The 23,828-nt window shown below is 43.1% G+C and overlaps 1 protein-coding gene across 14 annotated transcripts in view, besides 1 other annotated feature; it reads left to right on the top strand.

Annotated features, from left to right (window-relative positions):
- FAM135B (family with sequence similarity 135 member B) overlaps positions 1 to 23,828 on the top strand; it is a 367,708-nt gene that overhangs the window by 141,514 nt on the left and 202,366 nt on the right. The window lies entirely within an intron of this gene.
- Positions 10,806 to 11,305: an enhancer, noted in NCBI's record as "NANOG-H3K4me1 hESC enhancer chr8:139357155-139357654 (GRCh37/hg19 assembly coordinates)". NCBI's record gives its function as "activates a minimal SCP1, AML or CMV promoter by ChIP-STARR-seq in naive H9 embryonic stem cells {active_cell/tissue: H9 hESC(naive)}" and the evidence as "EXISTENCE:reporter gene assay evidence [ECO:0000049][PMID:30033119]".

The raw sequence follows: 23,828 nt of genomic DNA, 5'->3' as shown, positions 1-23,828 counted from the left end.
TTTTGTGCTGCTATAACAAAATGCCTGAAACTGGGTAATTTGCAAATGGCATACACTTATTTTCTCACAGTTCTGGAGACTGGAAAGTCCAAGATCAAGATACCAGCATTTGATGCCTGGTGAGGGCCCTAGTGCTGTGTCCTTACATGATAGAAGGGGCAAATGCTGCCCTGTCACATGGTGGAAAGTGGAAGGGAGAAAAAGCTTAAGCTAGTTCCCTCCAGGCCTTTTATAAGTCACTCATCCACTCATGAGGACAAAGCCCTAATTACTTAATCACATTCCAAAGGGCCTCACCTCTTAACACCGTTAGGAGGGCATTAGGTTTCAACATACAGTTTAGAGGGGACACATTCTTACCATAGTGCCACAGTGCATATTTTGTTTTATTTGGCTCACACAAGGGCATTCAAATGTTGTGATGTCTTTCTCCCCCTATTTCTTAAATGCTATGCACTGCTGCAAACAGTGAATTTATAGAGCGGTACTCTCAGGAGGAAATTATACTCAGACTTCCCTTTCTCACTGCTTGGCACCTGCCAGGGTCTCTTCCTTGAATAACGAGAAGATAATGTGGGTTTTGAGAACTGAATCCTTCCAGCCAATGACTGACAGGCGTGAGAGATACTTTCTTAACCAACTGCACTCACATTTCCATAATAAAAGTTTAGTCTCCAAATAGAGTCCTCAGAAGTGATCATGGTCCCCTTTTTCTCCTTCCTTAAAAGAGAGTGAATGATTTTTTTGTCCTTGTGATAGTTTGCTGAGAATAATGGTTTCCAGCTTCATCCATGTCCCTACAAAGGACATGAACTCACCATTTTTTATGGCTTCATAGTATTCCATGGTGTATATGTGCCACATTTTCTTAATCCAGTCTATCATTGTTGGACATTTGGGTTGGTTCCAAGTCTTTGCCGTTGTGAGTAGTGCCGCAGTAAACATAGGTGTGCATGTGTCTTTATAGCAGCATGATTTATATTCCTTTGGGTGTATACCCAGTAATGGGATGGCTGGGTCAAATGGTATTTCTAGTTCTAGATCTCTGAGGAATCGCTACATTGTCTTCCACAATGGTTGAACTAGCTTACAGTCCCACCAACAGTGTAAAAGTGTTCCTATTTCTCTGTGGAAATTGAACAATGAGAACACTTGGACACAGGAAGGGGAACATCACACACCGGGGCCTGCTGTAGGGTGGGAGGAAGGGGGAGGGATAGCATTAGGAGATATACCTAATGTAAATGACGAGTTAATGGGTGCAGCACACCAACATGGCACATGTATACATATGTAACAAACCTGCATGTTGTGCACATGTACCCTAGAAAAAAAGAGAGTGAATGAGAAAAGAGTCCCCTTTGGCTCACTCACTTCTTGCCGATGTTTTCCTCCTCAAAAGGAATGTGTGATGTTTCTCCCATGGCATTTTCATACAAATCCCCCCTTGAAAGATAAACCTCAGGGTCATTTTCCTTCGTTTATTGATTTACAGACTGTCATCAATTTGCTCATTTAGGAGACCTTGAGCTCTTGCTCTTGTTGGCTCTATCCTAAGAATTCTGGGCAGAGCAATGAGAAAGACACAATTGTGAACTCAAGTTGCTCCTGATACAGTGTAAGAGAGACAGGTGGAAGTCAAGAAAGTGATGTCAGAAATGGAAGTTAAACATGGACAAGATGTTGATGGAGGACAGAGAACTCCCAAAACGCCCACCCAGGAGGTATCAGGATGGGTTACTTGGAAGAGAGGGCATTCACAAGCCAGATAAAGACTGGAAGGGGGTCTCAGGCATTGAGAAGGTATGCACAAAGGTACAGAAATGGAAAAGGGCATGTCATCTCCTGGGTAGTGCTAGGGTTTTCAAGAGTACTGCATACAAGTGTTTTGTTTTGTTTTGTTTTTGATAGAGTAGGAGGGATGGGGCTAGCCAGATTCCAGGGAGATTGATCATGAAGGGTGTGTGTGTCCCCTTCTGGAGCTGGGATTGTATCTATAGATAAAGGAAGACTATGAAACAATTTGAGTAAGGGAGTTGCTTGATTGTATGTGTAACAGAAATGACACATTAGAATCAAAGAGGATGACAGCTGGCGTGGGGAGAAATTATTAAAGAGGTGAAGGTAGCTCAGAAGGAGAATAATTGAGGACTGCTGAGGTAATGGAATGAAAAGAATTGGTGTTTTTGCATTGTGTTGAGGGGAAGGGAAAAGTTGCAGTGATGGTTAAGAAGTTCCCTTGGGTGAATTAGTCAATAAAGCTGAAGGAGAAGAGGATCAAGCAGCAAGAGGAGTTGATGTGAGTTTATAGGTCTAAAGGCAATGGGATATCTGAGTGCAGAGGCCAGGTGAGAATCTGGGCTGGGATTCATCAGCTCATAACCGTAATTGAGCTTGGCTGAAATCACTCAGTGACTATACAACACTAGCACAGGTGTGTGAGCTCAGACTGTGCCAGGAGTTTTTACTGTATCAACTCACTTGATGCCATCCATAGACCTGTGAGATAGGTATTATTTCACAGATAAGTACACTGAAGCCCAAGGTCACTTGGCCACCCTATGACAGGGTTTGGATTCATAGCTGTTTGTCTCCAGAGCCAGTATTATGAAGTCTAAATTTTATTTTGTTGGTAAGACCAGACTCTAAAGAGAAAATTCACAATTTATATATATTTGAAGGTGAAGAAACTTGCAAAAGAGTCTCAGCTAGAGCTATTGGAGAGATGCAAGGAAAATTAGGAAAAACAATTCAAAGAATCAAAGAAATGTGAGAGCCAGAAGGTGGGAGCATCCCAAGGCTAAATGTTGCAGAGGAATCAAGGGTATAAGGACCAAAAAGGATCCTGATATCAGCTCAGGAGTCAAGAATAGCCTTTGCAAAAATAATTTGTCTATATGATGAGAGCAGCAGCCAGAGAGCCTTGTGTGCAAATATGGATGAGAACTGATCCTGAGAGGAAAATCTCACCATGTGCTTGGGGGAGCTGACATATAAACCCGGTTTTACTACTCAATATGGTCGGAGACAGAGAAGGCTTCCTAGAGGAGGTAGAAAAGCATGCATAGGAGTTTGGACTTTCTCTCCTAGGAATGGTACAGAAGGTGTGAGTGTGGAATGTTTCAAGTAGGGGAGTGATGTGATCGGATATGGGTCAGAACATCATTTGGCTGAAGTGTGAAGAGCAGATTGTAGCAGGGAGAGGCATTGCCTGCCTAGAACATAGTTGGCACTCACATATTTTAATTCACATTTATTGGATGAGGTGTCTTATGTTAGCTGGCTATTGATGAAGGAGACATGTACTGAGCAGTGTGACAAAGTTCCTACTGCACTCCAAATCCTATTGATGAGTAGTTTCTGAGATGTTGGGGTTAGGTTTATATAAAACTTAAGTCTCACTACTGATTTCTCTCTTCCCTGAATTAGGGAGCTATAGAACCATAAGAAACAGTAATGGAATGGAACCAATGTACTTTATTTATAGCTGGGAACATTCTCAATACCCTCCTAGTGGGGGGCATTGAGGAAAACAGATTGAGCAATAAGTGTAAGACATAGGCATGGATGCCAAAATGGGATTTCTTTCTGTCTCCCTCCACCCTAACTGAGATAAATCTTTAGACTCAAGTGTTTAGAGACAGAGGGTCAGGGAGAGTGAAAGGAGAGAAGATGAATGGATGCCTGGCTCCCAGGAGGAACCCAAGGTCCATCAGCCAAGTTTTGTTTACTGAATACAAGGGAAAAACAGAAGCTAGTCATAAGACTGTGCATGGTTCTTGATATTTTTTGTTTATTTATAATATTTACAAGGTGATGTTTATTTTAGACAGTTGTACACATCTATGGGGTACACCTGATATTTTGATACATGCATACAATGTATAATGATCAAACTGAAGTAATTGGGATACACATCACCTCAAACATTTATCATTCAGATTTGATATTTAAAGCAATTAACCCCCTACTTATTATTAAAATGCATCCCAGTAAAAATCTTGGCCTTTAAACAGTCAAATTGGCAAAGCTTCATTGCCTGGGTGAAACTGTTTCATGGGTTTAAACACTGTCTGGGTGCCAATGGTTTCCCAATGTCTGTAATCAGTCAGCCTTCATGTGGCCCCTTCTAGACCTAGAGTATTATGCACAGAGCATTATGTCAGTGTTTCCAAGGTTCCATACAGGATCAGTCAGAAAAGTACTTAGTTAATAAAAAAATAATCTGGTCGAACGTAGTGGCTTACACCTGTAATCCCAGCACTTTGGGAGGCCGAGGCGGACAGATCACCTGAGGTGAGGAGTTCAAGACCAATCTGGTCAACATGGTGAAACCCTTTCTGTACTAAAAATACAAAAATTAGCTGGGCATGGTAGCACATGCCTGTAGTCCCAGCTACTGGGAAGACTGAGGCAGGAGAATTGCTTGAACCTGGGAGGCAGAAGTTGCCATGAGGTGAGATTGTACCACTGCGCTCCAGCCTGAGCAACAGAGTGAGATTCCATCTTAAAAAAAAAAAAAAAAAAAAAAAAGATCTGCCCTAAGCATGTAGGAATTTGTGGTGTCTTGGTTTTCTAGGGTTGCTGTTACAAAGTATCCAAAACTGGGTGTATGAAGCAACAGAAATGTGTTGTGTCACAGTTGTTGGGTCTAGAGGTCTGAAATCAAGGTGTAAGTGGCATTTCTTCTTTCTCAGGACTGCGAGGATCCGTTCCATGCCTTTATCCTGGCTTCTGGTGTCTTTTCTGTTAATCTCTGATGTGCCTTGGCTTTTCAGTGCATTACTACAGTTTCTGCCTTCACCTTCACATAGTGTTCTACCTGTCTCTTCACAGGATCTTCCCTCTGCACATCAGCCTCTGTGTCCAAACTTCCCCTTTTATAAGGACACCAGTCAGATTGGATCAGGGACCACCCTAATGGCCTTGTTTTAACTCTATTGGGCTTTCTTAGACTCTATAAAGACCCTGTTTCCAAATAATGCCACATTCTGAGGTACTAGGAGTTAGGACTTGAGCATATCTCTTTGAAGGGGACACAATTCAGCCTGTACAGGTGACATCTGCTAGTTTTGTGTAGAGGGAACACAATTTGGAAAAGCATAAAAAGGCATGCCTTATATGTGAAGTAACAAAATTTTGGGTAGATTCTGTATGGATTTTGTCAGGACTGAAGGGGGTTTCCCATAATGTAAGACTTTCAGGGCTAAGACCATGAAAGTCCCAGGCAAACTGCATTGAGTTGGTCACCCTAGGGTTACATGGTGAATGATGACTTTGGGGAGGTAAGCAGGTTATATGGCAACGACATTAGATATGAAGACCATGGACATTATCTGGTGGTGGGTAGGCACCACAAGGTATACAAGGCAATAGGAATGACAAGTATACAGGTATAAAATGTGGAAGTTCTGGGAATTAGCTTATATATCACACAGCTTAGCTTCCTTAATGTATGAATAAGGAAACAGGGCATAGGAAAAAGAAGCTTTGCCTTCAATAGATAAACAGCTGGGAGGTGGAAGAATCCTCTCAGAATCTCAGCTTTCTGATTCCTAATCAAGGCCTTTTCTGTTTCACAACCAAATATTCCAGTGTATTCAATGGAACATTAGTCCTTCAGATACAGCCTACAATATCTCTCTCTTGGGATTTTTACAGCAGCAATATTTCTCCACGTGTGTCACAGATGTGTGTGTGTGTGTGTGTGTGTGTGTGTTGTAGAAAACCTATTTACAATTCCTGATTCTAGTGTCCCAGTGAGCATCTCTTGGAGAATGGTTATTTTCCCCAAGCCACCTCCTTTCATGCATCAAAAGGATTGATTTGCAAAATTGTCCTAAGCTGGATTTGATTAGAGGGTTGGAATGGTTGGTTGCCTTGTGCCCTTGTCTATTGGCCTCCTTTTGAATAACGGCATGGGAATGTTGACTTAGGTGAAAGAACGGGATAGTATGTTTTGCTGTCTGTTTACATGAAGCACTTCATGTAACATATTCTGGGTTTCATCTTTGAAATATCATGAGAATGAGGAAACTTCTCAGATGAGTACACAAAGGAAATCCAAAGGAGTTTGCTTGGGGACTGGGATTTGGGTCCTGGCATCTGATATCAGAGTGACTGAGTGTAGTCTTTACTTCAGGACATCTGAGCGATGGTGGTCATGGCCAAGGTACTTAATCTCTCTCATCTGAACATGGAGAATAACGATAGAGTCCACCTCACAGGTCTTTTGTGGACAAAAAATTGTGTGTATTGTTCTCAATAAATTTTAGCTATGTGGATATTCTTGATCATCATCATGAAGATGTTTATCCCATAATTTGTCTGAGGGAACACTATGGCAGGTGAATGGTATGTCCGGGATTGAAACCTGAATCTGGCTCACTGCAGAACTTATGGATTCTTGAACATGCTTTCCATTTCTGGCTCTGCTTTGCTCATCTCAGCCTGCAGAAAAGTGGGCCTGTATGAGCCACAAAACTACCTCTATTGAGAGTTTGTCTGTCCATCCATCTATCCTCACACATAAGTATTCATTCATTCACTCATTCACTCATTCATTCATTCATCTATTTTATCTCTCATCATACACATATCAAATATGTCATTTGTGGCCAGCCGTATGTCAAATGTTGGGGAATTTAAGAAAGAAAGAAAAAGTGAAAAAGAAAGAACCAGCCTTCCTTAATCCCTACTATATCCTGCTATATCCTAGGGATTGTGCTAGACATTTTATCTACATCATTTCGTTTAATTATCCTGGAGAAGCAGATACTATCTGTTCTGTTTTACACATGAGTAAACAGCCTTCAACAGAGTAAAGCAAAATAACTTACTTGAAGCCATGCAGGGTACTCTGTGAAGGGTGCAGGATCCTGTTCCAAGTCTGTCTCACTTCCAAGTCTACATTCTTTCTCCAAAGGCATGGAGTTTCCCTTCCAAAACACATGTTCTGGGTCCCTATTCCCAAACAGCTCCCAACCTTATTGAACAGTGAAGAAGTGAGGAGGCACAGAGGTACATCCTTTGCTTTTGTTGCTGCTACTTCACAAGGGGCATTAGCCCAGGTGAACTGAAGGGGGTTTCCTGGAATGTAAGACTTTCAGTGCTAAGACCACGAAAGTCCCAGGCAAACTGCAATGAGTTGGTCACCCTAGGGTTACATGGTGAATGATGACTTTTGGATGACCTCCTGCCTGCCCATTTTGGCTGGCCTCATCTAGTCTGGTGCCAGAGGGGCCTGGGCCCTGGCCACAACTCTCTGCTCCAGACAGATCTCTGGGCTTCCCCATCCATGTTTAAAGTCCAGGACACTGGGCACGTGTTGACAAACCTGGGCACTCTAAGCCTGGCCAATTATGCCCCAACCATGTCCTAAAAGAAGTAATTAAATGAATTGGAGATGAGTCAGAGCTGTGCAAGCACAATTTTGTGATCACAAATGGTTTCCCAGGAAGATCAATTGGATTCACTCTTAGTTTCTCTTAAGTCCAGAACTAAGACTGAAAGTGAAAAGAAGGTAGATTTTAAAGGTTCACTACCAGAAACTGTTTTCTAATGAATTGTCCTCAATGAAAAGGGTTGTTGTGGGCAGTCATTAGTGTCCTTACCAGAAGAAGATGTGTTAATATAGTTGGGAGTCTAGGAAAGCTACTGCCAGGGAAGAAAATGGTGAAGGATTGAGTCACAGGTCTTAAAGCATTGTTGTTTATAAAGTGTTTATTTTCTTTTGTCGTGTTGAATTTTATAAAGCAAACCGATGTATAAAAGAGGAAAAAAGGCCAGGTGCGGTGGCTCACGCCTGTAATCTCCGCACTTTGGGAGGCCGAGGTGGGCGGATCACCTGAGGTCAGGAGTTCGAGACCAGCCTGCCCAACATGGAGAAACCCTGTCTCTACTAAAAATACAAAAATTAGCGGGGTGTGGTGGTGCATGCCTGTAATCTCAGCTACTCGGAAGGCTGAGACAGGAAAATTGCTTGAACCTGGGAAGTGGAGGTTGCGGTGAGCCGAGATGGAGCCATTGCACTCCAGCCTGGGCAACAAGAGTGAAATTCCTTCTCAAAAAAAAAAAAAAAAAAAAAAAAGAGGAGGAAAAAGAAGAACTAATCTGATTGTTGTTGCATGGGGGGCAACTTTGAGCCTTCTCCTTGGAACATGAGGACCTCATTGTACATATTTGAACCACTGGGATAACAACAGTAAAAATAGTCATAGTAGAATTAGCCAACAGTCACTGAACATTTACTGTGAGCTTGGTACTCTTCCAGACTTCATATTTATTATCTCATTTATTTCTTAACCTCATGAAATCAGGACTATAATTCTACCTCCGTTTTGTAGGTAAGGGAACCAAGACACAGAAGCATGATGTAACTTACTCGAGGTAACCCTGCTGGTCTGAGGCAGAGCTTGGCTGCCCGTTGTGAGATCAGATTGGGGAATCTCTAAGGTCATATTGATCCCTACCAGTCTGATTGTCCTAGAACAGGTGTGATTGGCTCAGGCCCTGACTTTCCGTCCTCTGGAGATCAGCAAGCAGAGTGATGATGGTAGGTGACTGACGACTGCAACTTGTATCATCTTAAGAATAAAAATAAAAAATCTCAAGGGGTTATGAGAGGGCTGTTAATTATAAAAGCAGCAGACTGTCTTTGTGTGCAATCCTGACTGGGCACCATTCCTTTTGGCTGTTTCCTTCTTGTGATCTTTCAGAAGCTTGGGTTTCCATGCACTACGCTCATGCAGAGGTGACCTGTGGGACTTTTAAGCCTCAGTGTCATAGGCTATGATGCCAGGGTTAAGGATCCCAGACTTCTATAAGCATTGCCATCTCTTTTGTTCTCTCACTTTGAGGCTCAGCCAATGACAGGCTCATGGATCATTGATACCACAGGAAGGGATGATTTGTGTTGTGAAGTGCAGAGCTCCATTTCCAGCCTTTCATATAGAAAGCATCGAGACCCATGACTTAGGTGGATTAGGACATGATGTTACTGAGACATTCTGTCAAGTCCCATTCCCTGAGTGAGGAGCCAGGTCCTCCTGGGGAAGACACTCTCCTACTCACACCTGCCTTCATTCATTCATTCATTCATTCATTCATTCTTCCTTTTGTTCATTCCTCCATTCATTCTTCCTTTTGTTCATGTATTTATTCACTTACCAAACTGTAATTGATACCTATGTACCAATCAGGGTGCTAGATATTAGTGACCAAGAAGTGAAAACACAAAATCTTTTTCTCGGGCTTCTAAAGCCTCATGATAGAAACAGACACATATTATCATACAATGTGATTATAATGGACATTGGTGAGTGCTTGCTACCTGCCAGGCCTTCAGTTGAACATTTCACATGATATAATTTTTTATTTTCTTCAACATTTATTTTAAGTTCCAGGGTACATGTGCAGGGTGTGAAGCTTTGTTACATAGGTAAATGTGTGCCACAGTGGTGTACTGCACAGATCAACCCATCACCTAGGTATTAAGCCCAGTGTTCATTGGCTATTCTTCCTGATATTCTCCCCGTCACCACCTCTGACCCCCCGACAGGCCCCAGTGTGTCATTCCCCCTATGTGTCCATGTGTTCTCATTGCTCAGCTCCCACTTATAAGTGAGAACGTGTGATGTCTGATTTTCTATTTCTGTGTTAGTTTGCTGAGGATAACAGCTTCCAGCTCCATCCACGTCCCTGCAAAGGACATGATCTCCTTCCTTTTTATGGCTGCATAGTATTTCATGGTATATATGTAACACATTTTCTTTACCCAGTCTATCATTGATTGGCATTTGGGTTGATTCCACGTCTTTGCTATTGGGAATAGTGCTGCATTTGTGAACTGCTATTGTGAACAAACATGTGCATGTACCTTTATAATAGAATGATTTATATTTCCTTGGTTGTATGCCCAGTAATGGGATTGCTGGGTCAAATGGTATTTCTGGCTGTAGATCTTTGAGGAATTGCCACACTGTCTTCCACAATGGTTGAACTAATGTACATTCCCACCAACAGTGTAAAAGTGTTCCTTTTTATCTGCAACCTTGCCAGCACCTGTTGTTTTTGACTTTTTAATAATCACCATTCTGACTGGCGTGAGATGGTATCTCATTGTGGTTTTGATTTGCATTTCTCTAATCAGTGATGTTGAGCTTGTTTTCATGTGTTTGTTGGTCACATGAATGTCTTCTTTTGAGAAGTGTCTGTTCACGTCCTTTGCCCAGTTTTTAATGGGGTTGTTTTTTTCTTGTAAATTTATTTAAGTTCCTTGTAGACTCTGGATATTAGACCTTTGTCAGATGGATGGATTGCAAAACATATAACTTAATCATAGAACACAGGCAAGTCCTGTCCACATCCACCTTCTCAGATGGAGAAACTGAGGCAGTAGAGATCATCATGCAGGATGTTATGGGAGCCCTTCCAAGGCAGAGTCTGATTTTCCTTTGGCGAATTCAGGAATGACTGAAAGTCATGGTCAGAAGATACTCTCCCCTCCTCTCAGTTTTGGGATGTCCATTGTCGTCGCCACATGGCTGGGTGGTTTGGGGGCAGTGAGTGGCTTCAGATAGAGTTGGACAGGAGACTGAGTTAATATCACAGAGTCCTCACATACCATGTCAAAGGGGCTTGAACAAATGGGTTGGGGTACCACACTGGCAAAACAAGGGTTTCCACTGTGATTATGGTGGCTGACTTGCAGTCAGTCTACTGCCCACCCTGTCCGTTTAGAATTACCCGGAGTTACATAGACTCTGTTACCTCCAAGCTTTGCCCCTGGCCCTGCTGCTGCTACAAGCACTCTTTCCATCTGCAGTGTTCTCTCGCCAACTCCTGCTCATGCCTTTTGTCTCTGCTCAGATGTCACTTATTTCAGGAAACTTTCTGACGGCTGATCCTGTTTGAGGAGCCTCCCCCATGCTCTCCTTTGTCCTACCACTTATGCTAATCACCTCACTGTGACACAGCAGGGCCTTGCAGCCAGGTCTCATCCATCAACTCCTCTGTTTCCTGGGCTTGCCACTCAGGCTGGCACAGAATGAGGCTCAGCCAAAGCTTGTTGAAAAGTTACCTGAGCTGGGCTGAACTATTCTGACCCTCATCCTCCACTTATCCAACAGTAAAACAGTATTTATTGTCAACTGCATTGCTGACACAGTGCTGGATGCTGCTTTCATGGTTATGACCCAAACAGAACAGTCCCTGCTCTTCCGGAGCATCAGTCCCGTGGGAGAACAAGCATAAAACCCAAACTCCCTTTTCCAAGTGGATCATTCAGTTTGAAATACATGCTATGATGTAAAGTGCAGGTGGCCATAGAAAGTGTAGCAAGAAGCCAGGCGCGGTGGCTCACGCCTGTAATCCCAGCACTTTGGGAGTCCGAGGCAGGCAGATCACGAGGTCAGGAGATCGAGACCATCCTGGCTAACACGGTGAAACCCCGTCTCTACTAAAAATACAAAAAATTAGCTGGGTGTGGTTGCAGGCACCTGTAGTCCCAGCTATTCGGGAGGCTGAGGCAGGCGAATGTCATGAACCTGGGAGGCGGAGATTGCAGTGAGCTGAGATCGCGCCACTGCACTCCAGCCTGGGCGACAGAGCGAGACTCCTTAACAAAAAAAAAAAAAAAAGAAAGAAAGAAAGTGTAGCAAGAGACTCCTAATTTAGACTGAGGGTTCGGAAAAGCGTCTTTGAGGACGTAACATTTAACAGGAGACCTGAAGGTTAATTAAGAAATAGCCAAGCGCAGGTGGGAGGAAAAAGGCCAAAGGAAGGGCAGTCGTGCAACCCCGAGGTGGGGACAGATTATTTCAGAAAATGAAGTGAGGCCACCATGGCTGCTGGAGAGGCGAGCTGGCGCCGGGTTACGATGGGCTGTGATTCTCTGTTGGGCATCTTTCATTGCACTGCATTGGCCACCTTGCCATTGAGAATTACAGGCAGCCCCACAGGACTGAACCCCAGAGTCATTCTTGACATGGTATCTTCTCCCTTGACACTTCTTATCTTTTGTAAATCCTCAGGCAATGATTTTGGCTCACATTCGTAAGATACCTCAAATCCTGCAGCTCTTCTCAGCATCTTCACTGCTGCCGTCCAGTCTAAGCCACTGTCCTCTCTCACCTGGATGCCTGTCACTGCCTCTCCCTAGCCTCCGTCTGCCTCCCTCCTCATCCCATTCTCATCAGCACAGCAGCCAGAGGTGCTGGAGGGAGTATAACTAAATGGCACAAGCCTCGAAGATCTGCATTGGGTGAAAGGGTCAGGCAGCAATGATCTGGAAGGGCCATGGAAAGAAAGGAGCTCCTAAACCCCCCTCCTGTCCAGTGGTGTTTCAGATAAGAGGAAACAACCAAACCAGTGCACTGCAGGGGGCTGCAGAGAGCCAGAGTCCTCAGGGAATGCAGGTTTTCTTTATCTCAGGCAGGGAGATGCAAGAATATTTGGAGACATTTTCTGATTATGAGGTGGGAGTTCCAGGGGACACAGTAGACACGTTTGGGAGGTGATGGAATGGTTGTGGACTTAGTCAAGGGCAAGGAAGAACGTGGGGTGCTTGTGTGGTAGAAGGTACCTGGCCAGGGCAGGGCCTTCCCCTTGGGCACTGGCGGTGAAAGCAGGGTATGATAAGCCAAAGTTCATCACATTCATTTTACCGTGTTGGCTGTGGCTCAGTGTAAGAGGTGAAGACAGTTCCTGCAGCTTCAGTTCAGCCATCCATGGCTGTCAACAGAGACCAGAGGTGGGACAGAGTTAGCTCTGGAGACTTTCAGAGTCCTGAGGCCCTTTTAAGATCCACCTGTGGTCTGGAGGTCAAGCTTTGTGCCTGAAAAGCTGAGATCAGAGTGTCTTTGCCTGGGTTTGGCTGTTCTTGACAGCTATAGTGTATAGCAGTGTCTGCATGTGTCTTCCTGCCTGCACGTCTCTAGAGCTGGGAAACCCAAGGCTTCATGAGAGCCAATTCCCCCATTGAACAGCTCTGTGGTCAGAAAGCTGTGCTTCAGTGGGGCAGCCACCTTCTACCTTCCAGCCCTTAGTTCTGGATTTTCCTTTGAGCTTTATCAGGACTCCAAGTCTTTCAAGCTCTAAGAGCCTCAGTTTCTTCAACTATTCGTCATGGGACAAGCTTTTAAAGAATAAATAAATAAATGAATGCGTATTTTAAGAATCAGTGTACTTCTATTGAAGCATGGAATGTAAGGAAGAAAATGTCACTGATATATCAATATACAGACCTCATTATACTCAGTTCTGAATTCACTATACCTAGCATACAGCTGGGGCCATGGGATTTGTGCATGCATGTTTGGATGCACACGTGTTTGGGTATGCATAGCTGTTTACACATATGTTTGTGGGCATACATGCTTGTGTGCTGACATGTCTATGGGGATGCATAGTTGTGTGCATATGTGTTTGTGGGCATGCATGCTTAATTAAACAAATGAGCAAGCAGGAATATCTGAACTCGGTTGTACAGCACTGAAGGCCTTGGACATTGGAGGGGGCCTGTGGCATCTTTCTTCTTCATGTCCCTTCTCCCAAGTGAAACTTGAATTATCCACCTCATTATGCCATACGTGAAGTTTCTACTGAGTGTCATAATCTCTTGCTCAATGGTCAACTCAGGTATCCTCCTCTCTCCCAGGGGTCTACATGGATATGTTCTAAGAACCATTTGAGTGCCAAAGGCCCTTTAAAATCACCTGAAGGGCTCTTGGTCGCAAGCACAGTTTAAAGCACCTTCCCTTTTCTCTGGTCTGAAAGGAGGCTGTGCCTTCTGCCTTTGCAGCTGCCTTTGCTGATTTTGAGGCCAAAGCAGCAATGAAACTTCCTGACTGCTGGGGAGATGAGGAGGTTCTGGGATGAGTCCTTAATTACTTTGTGTCATCAGAAGGGTCATTCCACCTCTCTGGTTCATTTTCTCTATCTGTCACTCATGCCTGGATTACTCCCTTGAGAGTGCTCTAGAATTGAATCATGGTTCTGTCTCACTCTAGCTGAAGGGTTGGTTTAATCTCTTTGAGCTCAGTCTGCCTGTATTTCCCTATATTATAAGAAAACCTATTTCATGGTGTTTTGTGGGGATAAAATGGGTGAAGAGATGTGGAGATCTTAGCAGAGTGCTTGACGCCTAGTAGGTGTTTCTAGCAGTAATTAATGACAGGGTTAAATGATTGGCAGAGTGCTTTTCGTATCTGCTGGCTTGAGAGCACCAAAACTTGGTCCAGGACTTAAGTGACTTTTACTCCCTGCACCTAAAATAGTATATAGAGTAGTGTGTAGTATAAACGTGTTAAAGGCTTATTAGTGAACTTCTGGGGAGATGAGGAGGTTGACTAAGCATTCCTTTCCTTTCATGGGGAGGTCAGTGTTCCCCCTGCTGAGAGGGTCCTTGTGTGCTGGATTAAGACATTTGTCTTTATGCTTTTGGGAAAGAAAAGGGTGATTGCAGGGGACAGGCATCTAATTATGTGTGAGGGCAATGGATTGGAGTTAGGAGAGGCTTACAGTAGAGAGACGATTCCAGGGGATTCTTGCAGTGGCCCAAGTCTTCATTCATTCATTCACTTTACCAAAAACCTTTTTAATTTTTTTCAATTTTGGTAAAATATGCATAATATAAAATAAATCATTTTAGCCATTTTAAATGTACAATTCTTTGGTCTTCATAAGTACATTCACATTGTTGTGGAACCATCACCATGATCCATCTCCAGAACTTTTAAAGCTTCCCCAGCTGAAACTCTGAACCCACTAAACACTAACTATTTTAACTAACCCAGTTCCTGCCTTTCTCCCTGCCCTGGCAACCACCATTCAACTTTGTATCTCTATGAATTTGATTATGCAAGGAACCTCATAGGAGAGGAATAATACAGTATTTGTTTATCCTTTTGTGACTGGCTTATTTTGCTTGGCAACAATGTCCTCAAGGTTAATTTATGTTGTAGCTGTGTCAGAATTTCCTTCCATTTTAAGGCTGAATACTGTTCCATTGTATGGGCATGCCGCACATTATCCAGTCATCTGGTGATGGACATTTGTGTTGCTTCTACCTTTTGGCTATTGCGAAGAATGCTGCAGTGAACATGAGTATGCAAAATCTGTGTGAGTCTCTTATTCTACTTCTTCTGGGTTTATACCCAGTCCTAAACAATTCTTGAGTACTTTGTTTCAGTTTCTCTCCTAGGTGCTGGGAACAGGGAGTACTAGACAGTGAGACAGTGTTCCTATACTAGGAAAGTGCTCCGTCTTGTGGGATGAACAAAAGCACATTCATGTAACACAGGGAGGTGGAGCTGGATTTGGAGAGCATGCGGGGGCTGAGAGTCCCAAGAGAAAGAAGGGCCATTTACCACTGCCAAGAAAGTGAACCTTGAACCAGCCCTTCAAGGATGAGTGGATGCACGAGGCACAGAGAGAGTTGAGGTACAGGGAGCCTCAGGGGCATGGGCTGACTCATCCAAGGATGTGGGAAGCATGCAGGAGGGAGGAGGGGATGGATGTGGGAGAGCTGGACCACGAGGAACCCTATGTGCCAGGCTGAGGAGCTGGGATGCTGGCCAGCAGGAGGGTTCTAAGAGCAGGTCGGCATCATAGCTAGTACTCAATGCCTAGGTCAGGAATGATGAACAGGACATGGGTGCTGGAGCCTGGCCCTCCTGGGTTAACTCCTAGCTGTGTGGCCAGGACCCATCATCCTCTCTCCGTCTATGTCAGCGTACTGTTTGTGGATGATAATAAGGATGACAGCATGGACATAAGGATGTGGGTAATGTGGATACTAATCATATCCATGTGAACAGGGCAGTCATGAGGATTTAGTGAGACACTTTAAGTAAAATGCTTCACACAGGCCTGGAGCATAGATGAGTGCTCCCTGATCGTTTCCTGTTCTATTTCTTTCTTTCTTTCTGTTTGTATCGTTCGTATTGTTCTGGTGTGGCATTATTATTTTAGAAGGCTCTCTCTAGCAGTGACAGTGGGGAACATGAATTATGATGGGGCTTTCAGAAATCCAGGGTGCAGAGATGTTCTGGATGTGAGTTTTGGACCTCGCTGCAGTTATTCCAGACTTTTCTGTGACCTGCTCTCCATAGACAGCTGAGTCGTGTGCTTCGGGAAGGACTGCAGTCCTGCCAGATGATGACAAAGGAGTTCTTGCAGCTCCCAACCCATCCCGGGATGATGAACCAGGCCTGGCGTCCAGGGATCACAAATTAGATATGAGGAATTCAGATGGAGGGGCTGTGCCCACTGCAGGCTGGACCGGATGGGGGTGGGGATAAAGCACAGCCCCCACGCTTCCACTCCCCCATCAGCTCTTCCTCTCCATCCTGATGAACAGGAAGCGACGGAACCCCTCTCTTTGGAGTCCAGCCCTGCAGAGGACACTCAGGTGGCCTAACAGAGGGGGCTGGGTTGGGGATGTGAGTGAGGGAGGCTTTCCTGTAACAAGAAGCAAGGAGGAATTGTGTTTAAATTGTTCTAGCACTTTAACTCTGTGATGCTGCAGCTCTCAGCTGATGGAATGCTCTAATTCTAATCACCATATGCACATATGCAAAAAAACTGTGACACATATGCAATCTGTGTCCCAGTTTTGTCAAAGGCCAGTGCAGTTTTCTAGCCTCCCCAATCCATTCTCCTTTTTTCTGATGTCACGAAAGCATGGTAGAAATGGCAGGTGTCACTTTTCCTGACTCTAATACATCCCTGGCATTCTGCCCAGCTTCAGGGAAGAAGAGAGGAGAATGGGTATGTGTGGGGGGTGGTGGGGGAGGAGTTCAGGGAAAATAGTTTACATTGGAGATTTTAAAATATATATATATATATATATATATATTTAGTTAGTTTTTTAAACAGGATGCAACTGACTTATCAAATCTGAGTAAATGCCACCTAACTAGCAAACATTTGTATGATTATTTAGGTTTTTTTTTAAATTATACTTTAAATTTTAGGGTACACGTGCACAACGTGCAGGTTAGTTACATATGTATACATGTGCCATGTTGGTGTACTGCACCCATTAACTCATCATTTAACATTAGGTGTATCTCCTAATGCTATCCCTGCCCCCTCCCCCACCCCATGACAGGCCCCGGTGTGTGATGTTCCCTTTCCTGTGTCCAAGTGTTCTCATTGTTCAATTCCTACCTATGAGTGAGAACATGCGGTGTTTGGTTTTTTGTCCTTGCGATAGTTTGCTGAGAATGATGGTTTCCAGCTTCATCCATGTCCCTACAAAGGACATGAACTCATCATTTTTTATGGCTGCATAGTATTCCATGGTGTATATGTGCCACATTTTCTTAATCCAGTCTACCATTGTTGGACATTTGGGTTGGTTCCAAGTCTTTGCTATTGTGAGTAGTGCCACAATAAACATAGATGTGCATGTGTCTTTATAGCAGCATGATTTATAATCCTTTGGGTATATACCCAGTAGTGGGATGGCTGAGTCAAATGGTATTTCTAGTTCTAGATCCCTGAGGAATCGCCACACTGACTTCCACAATGGTTGAACTAGTTTACAGTCCCACCAACAGTGTAAAAGTGTTCCTATTTCTCCACATCCTCTCCAGCACCTGTTGTTTCCTGACTTTTTAATGATCGCCATTCTAACTGGTGTGAGATGGTATCTCATTGTGGTTTTGATTTGCATTTCTCTGATGGCCAGTGATGATGAGCATTTTTTCATGTGTCTTTTGGCTGCATAAATGTCTTCTTTTGAGAAGTGTCTGTTTATATCCTTTGCCCACTTTTTGATGGGGTTGTTTGTTTTTTTCTTGTAAATTTGTTTGAGTTCATTGTAGATTCTGGGTATTAGCCCTTTGTCAGATGAGTAGATTGCAAAAATTTTCTCCCATTTTGTAGGTTGCCTGTTCACTCTGATGGTAGTTTCTTTTGCTGTGCAGAAGCTCTTTAGTTTAATTAGAACCCATTTGTCAATTTTGGCTTTTGTTGCCATTGCTTTTGGTGTTTTAGACATGAAGTCCTTGCCTATGCCTATGTCCTGAATGGTATTGCCTAGGTTTTCTTCTAGGGTTTTTATGGTTTCAGGTCTAACATTTAAGTCTTTAATACATCTTGAATTAATTTTTGTATAAGGTTTAAGGAAGGGATCCAGTTTCAGCTTTCTACATGTGGCTAGCCAGTTTTCCCAGCACCATTTATTAAATAGGGAATCCTTTCCCCATTTCTTGTATTTGTCAGTTTTGTCAAAGATCAGATGGTTGTAGATATGCGGCATTATTTCTGAGGGCTCTCTTCTGTTCCATTGGTCTATATCTCTGTTTTGGTACCAGTACCATGCTGTTTTGGTTACTGTAGCCTTGCAGTATAGTTTGAAGTCAGGTAGCATGATGCCTCCAGCTTTGTTCTTTTGGCTTAGGATTGATTTGGCAATGCGGGCTCTTTTTTGATTCCATATGAACTTTAAAGTAGTTTTTTCCAATTCTGTGAAGAAAGTCATTGGTAGCTTGATGGGGATGGCATTGAATCTATAAATTACCTTGGGCAGTTTGGCCATTTTCACAATATTGATTCTTCCTACCCATGAGCATGGAATGTTCTTCCATTTGTTTGTGTCTTCTTTTATTTCATTGAGCAGTGGTTTGTAGTTCTTCTTGAAGAGATCCTTCACATCCCTTGTAAGTTGGATTCCTGGGTATTTTATTCTCTTTGAAGCAATTGTGAATGGGAGTTCACTCATGATTTGGCCCTCTGTTTGTCTGCTATTGGTGTATAAGAATGCTTGTGATTTTTGTACATTGATTTTGTATCCTGAGACTTTGCTGAAGTTGACTATCAGCTTAAGGAGATTTTGGGCTGAGACAGTGGGGTTTTCTAGATATACAATGATGTCATCTGCAAACAGGGACAATTTGACTTCCTCTTTTCCTAATTGAATACCCTTTATTTCCTTCTCCTGCCTAATTGCCCTGGCCAGAACTTCCAACACTATGTTGAATAGGAGTGGTGAGAGAGGGCATCCCTGTCTTGTGCCAGTTTTCAAAGGGAATGCTTCCAGTTTTTGCCCATTCAGTATGATATTGTCTGTGGGTTTGTCATAGATAGCTCTTATTATTTTGAGATACGTCCCATCAATACCTAATTTATTGAGAGTTTTTAGCATGAAGGGTTGTTGAATTTTGTCAAAGGCCTTTTCTGCATCTGTTGAGATAATCATATGGTTTTTGTCTTTGGTTCTGTTTATATGCTGGATTACGTTTATTGATTTGCCTATGTTGAACCAGCCTTGCATCCCAGGGATGAAGCCCACTTGATCATGGTGGATAAGCTTTTTGATGTGCTGCTGGATTCGGTTTGCCAGTATTTTATTGAGGATTTTTGCATCGATGTTCATCAGGGATATTTGTCTAAAATTCTCTTTTTTTGTTGTGTCTCTGCCAGGCTTTGGTATCAGGATGATGCTGGCCTCATAAAATGAGTTAGGGAGGATTCCCTCTTTTTCTATTAATTGTAATAATTTCAGAAGGAATGGTAGCAGCTCCTCCTTGTACCTCTGGTGGAATTTGGCTGTGAATCCATCTGGTCCTGGACTTTTTTTGGTTGGTAAGCTATTAGTTATTGCCTCAATTTGAGAGCCTGTTTTTGGTCTATTCAGAGATTCAACTTCTTCCTGGTTTAGTCTTGGGAGGGTGTATGTGTCGAGGAATGTATCCATTTCTTCTAGATTTTCTAGTTTATTTGCGTAGAGGTGTTTATAGTATTCTCTGATGGTAGTTTTTATTTCTGTGGGATCAGTGGTGATATCCCCTTTGTTATTTTTTATTGCGTCTATTTGATTCTTCTTTCTTTTCTTCTTTATTAGTCTTGCTAGAGGTCTATCAATTTTGTTGGTCTTTTCAAAAAACCAGCTCCTGGATTCATTGATTTTTTGAAGGGCTTTTTATGTCTCTATTTCCTTCAGTTCTGCTCTGATCTTAGTTATTTCTTGCCTTCTGCTAGCTTTTGAATGTGTTTGCTCTTGCTTCTCTAGTTCTTTTAATTGTGATGTTAGGGTGTCAATTTTAGATCTTTCCTGCTTTCTCTTGTGGGCATTTAGTGCTATAAATTTCCCTCTACACACTGCTTTGAATGTGTCCCAGAGATTCTGGTATGTTGTGTCTTTGTTCTCGTGGGTTTCAAAGAACATCTTTATTTCTGCCTTCATTTCATTATGTACCCAGTAGTCATTCAGGAGCAGGTTGTTCAGTTTCCATGTAGTTGAGCGGTTTTGAGTGAGTTTCTTAATCCTGAGTTCTAGTTTGATTGCACTGTGGTCTGAGAGACAGTTTGTGATAATTTCTGTTCTTTCACATTTGCTGAGGAGTGCTTTACTTCCAACTATGTGGTCAATTTTGGAATAAGTGTGGTGTGGTGCTGAGAAGAGTGTATATTCTGTTGATTTGGGGTGGAGAGTTCTGTAGATGTCTATTAGGTCTGCTTGGTGCAGAGCTGAGCTCAATTCCTGGATATCCTTGTTAACTTTCTGTCTCGTTGAACTGTCTAATGTTGACAGTGGGGTGTTAAAGTCTCCCATTATTATTGTTTGGGAGCCTAAGTCTCTTTGTAGTCTCTAAGTACTTGCTTTATGAATCTGGGTGCTCCTGTATTGGGTGCATATATATTTAGGATAGTTAGATCTTCTTGTTGAATTGATCCCTTTACCATTATGTAATGGACTTCTTTGTCTCTTTTGATCTTTGTTGGTTTAAAGTCTGTTTTATCTGAGACTAGGATTGCAACCCCTGCCTTTTTTTGTTTTCCATTTTCTTTGTAGATAATTTGTATGACTATTTAGGGTTTTAAAATTACGTATGCCATATTGCACAACTCTTTTAATTTACACAAAGAAAATAATAAGATGATGAGGGTGCTGGGCGAGAAGAATGAGGAATCGTTTTAAGTACTGAGTGCAGCGGGTTCTTCCTCTCACCTCTGTGGGACTCTGAAAATCCCTCGAGTTCTCCGATGGGCATGGGATTCCCAAGAACAGACTCCTTTTCAGAATCCTGCCCTGTAGGTCATGTCTAGAGCTGGGCATGGCACTTTCTGATATCTGTATTACATTTGAGACATTTGTGCTGTTGAACAAAAAATCACAGTATACTCATTTAAACAAACTAGAAAATGCAGAATAAGAAAAAATGTATTCCTCAGAATCATTACCAAAGTTTTAGAAAATGTAGACTTTTCTTCTGCATGCATAAGGATTATAAATGCATTGATGTCAGCATTTTAAACAAAAATAAGATTCTGCTGGACACACTGAATCCTTTACCTTTTTCTGATTGCTTATGAACAATTGAGTAGTTCTGTTGTAAAGACACATGTATGCGTATGTTCACTGCAGCACTATTCGCAATAGCAAAGAGATGGAATCAACCTAAATGCCCATCAATGGTAGATTGGATAAAGAAAATGTGGTTCATATACACCGTAGAATACTATGCAGCCATAAAAAAGAACAAGATCATGTTCTTTGCAGGGACATGGATGGAGCTGGGGGCCATTATTCATACCAAACTAATGCAGGAATAGAAAACCAAATACCACATGTTCTCACTTATAAGTAGAAGTTAGATGATGAGAATATGTGGACACGTAGAGGGGAACACGATACACTGGGCCCTATGGGAAGGTAGAGGTTGGGAGTGGGAAGAATATCAGGAAAAATAACTAATGGGTACTGGGCTTAATACCATGGTGATGAAATAATCTGTGGGACAAATCCCCATGATACAAGTTTTCCTGTGTAACAAACCTGCACATGTAACCCTGAACTTAAAATAAAAGTTTTTAAAAAAGAAAACAAAGAAACAAAACAAGTGAATAAGTGAATATTTGCTAAGGGGGTTCTACAGCCACTTGCTGTAGGCCAAAGTCTGAGCGATGTGGGTATGTAGAAGTATTGCCAGAGCAAGCAATTCTAGCCCCACCCTTCTGTCGTGGGTCAATAAGAGAGAGATGGGGCCGGACATGGTGTCTCATGCCTGTAATCCCAGCACTTTGGGAGGCCAAGGAGGGTGGATCACCTGAGGTCAGGAGTTTGAGACCAGCCTGGCAAACATGGCAAAACCCCGTCTCTACTAAAAATACAGAAATTATCTGGGCATAGTGTTGTGTGCATGTAATCCCAGCTACTCGGGAGGCTGAGGCAGAAGAATCACTTGAACCTGGGAGGCAGATGTTGCAGTGATCCAAGATCATGCCACTGCACTCCAGCCTGGGAGACAGAGCGAGACTCCTCCGTTCCCCCCTCCCCTCAAATAAAAGAGACATGGAGGTCAGGATCAGGAGGTCAGTGGTTAGATTCTGGCCACTAAAATGGATCATGCACTCATTCCTCAAATAAGTAGGTTGAACAGTCTGCAGTTATCAGTCAAGCAACAGTTCTCGTAGCAAGGAGCTCACAGTCTGAATCAGGATCTTGGGTTAAGCAGATATTAATTGTTAATTAATATCTTATAAATCCTTTCTCAATTCATGTCTTGAGGGACTGCTGGATGTTAGGCACTGTGCTGGGATTTTGGACAGAAAGAAGGAGCATGATATGACTCTTGCTGTCAAAGTGCTCAGGTCTAGCTAAGGAAAACCTGCCTGGAAATCAAGCAGTGGTGATGTGGTATTATCTTTAGAAAACAGTGGGGAGCCCCCGGCCCTTAGACAACAGAGGATGGGCAATGCCTATTCTGCTGGACGTCAGGGAAGGCTTCCCATGAGGTCAGGGAGGGAGCCTTTTAGGGGAGTGGCATGTGCAAAGATGTGGAAATGTGGAAGGGCATGATGCATTTGCACACCAGCAACACAGCATACCTGGTACAAAGGCAGATGCCTAGGGAGTAGGAAGCAAGTGACCAAGATGCTATCAGAAAATAGGATGAAAGACCCAACCTCAGAGACAGAGCCTAGTAAAAGGCAGATGCCACTGTGTTGAGCAAACAGGGTCCGAGGTTTAGTTGTCCCAGGGCAAGTGTTGCAGGGCTCTGTGGAGATGATCTTTGTTGCATGAATTGGTTTTGAGGCTAATCCCTACACAGCACAGAAGGTTCCTGACTGGATGTTCCTTTATCTCTTCACAAGTCACTAAGCCAGAATCTCCTTTGATTTAATAACATTCTAAATGTGATTTTTTTCCCAAATATTTTAAGGTTGGTTGGAGGACTGTTAATCTAAAATACAAGCGTGTGTGTGTGTGTGTGTGTGTGTGCGCTTTCCAAATCCCAGCTGTGTAGTCCTCTGTTAGGATTGTTAGGGGAGGACAGCACCCTGGTCAGCACTCTCTCAGCACAAAACACCCAACCCTGCTTTATGTGAGGTCATCTCACTTCCACCAACTCCCTGAAGAAGCACCACACAGATGTTGAGAAAGCGCCGCCAGCTGTTTCGTTTGGGTGTAACTCAACAACTTTCATTTCTTCTCTGGTGCGTTAGGACTCATGTCAAAATGGTTTAGAGTTGCGTAGGCCCCTAAATCCTGCCCGGGTTTCCTGCACTCCGTGTTCACTCTTCTCCTTCCCCCTAAATGCACCACACGCCCCTGCTTTTCACCGGGTTTCTCCTCACCTGTCACAGTGGGGAGCCTCATCATCCACCCGTTTGCTTGAATGGAGGTGAGATGGAGGGGTAGTGAGGAAGAGTGTGATCTTTGCAACCAGGTCTAGGTCCAAATCCCAGGTCTACTAAATCCACACGTGACTTTGTTTTACCTTGAATTTCAGGTTCATCTTCTGAAAATTGGGATATGGCATCTTAATTGTATGACTGGGAGGGCTGAATGATATAATTTATGTGCAGTGTCCATT

Source organism: Homo sapiens, chromosome 8, assembly GCF_000001405.40.
Source record: "Homo sapiens chromosome 8, GRCh38.p14 Primary Assembly".
In the NCBI taxonomy this organism is placed as follows: Eukaryota; Metazoa; Chordata; class Mammalia; order Primates; family Hominidae; genus Homo; species Homo sapiens.
Note: the sequence above shows the minus strand (reverse complement) of the source record. Positions and strands in the feature narration are given on the sequence as shown.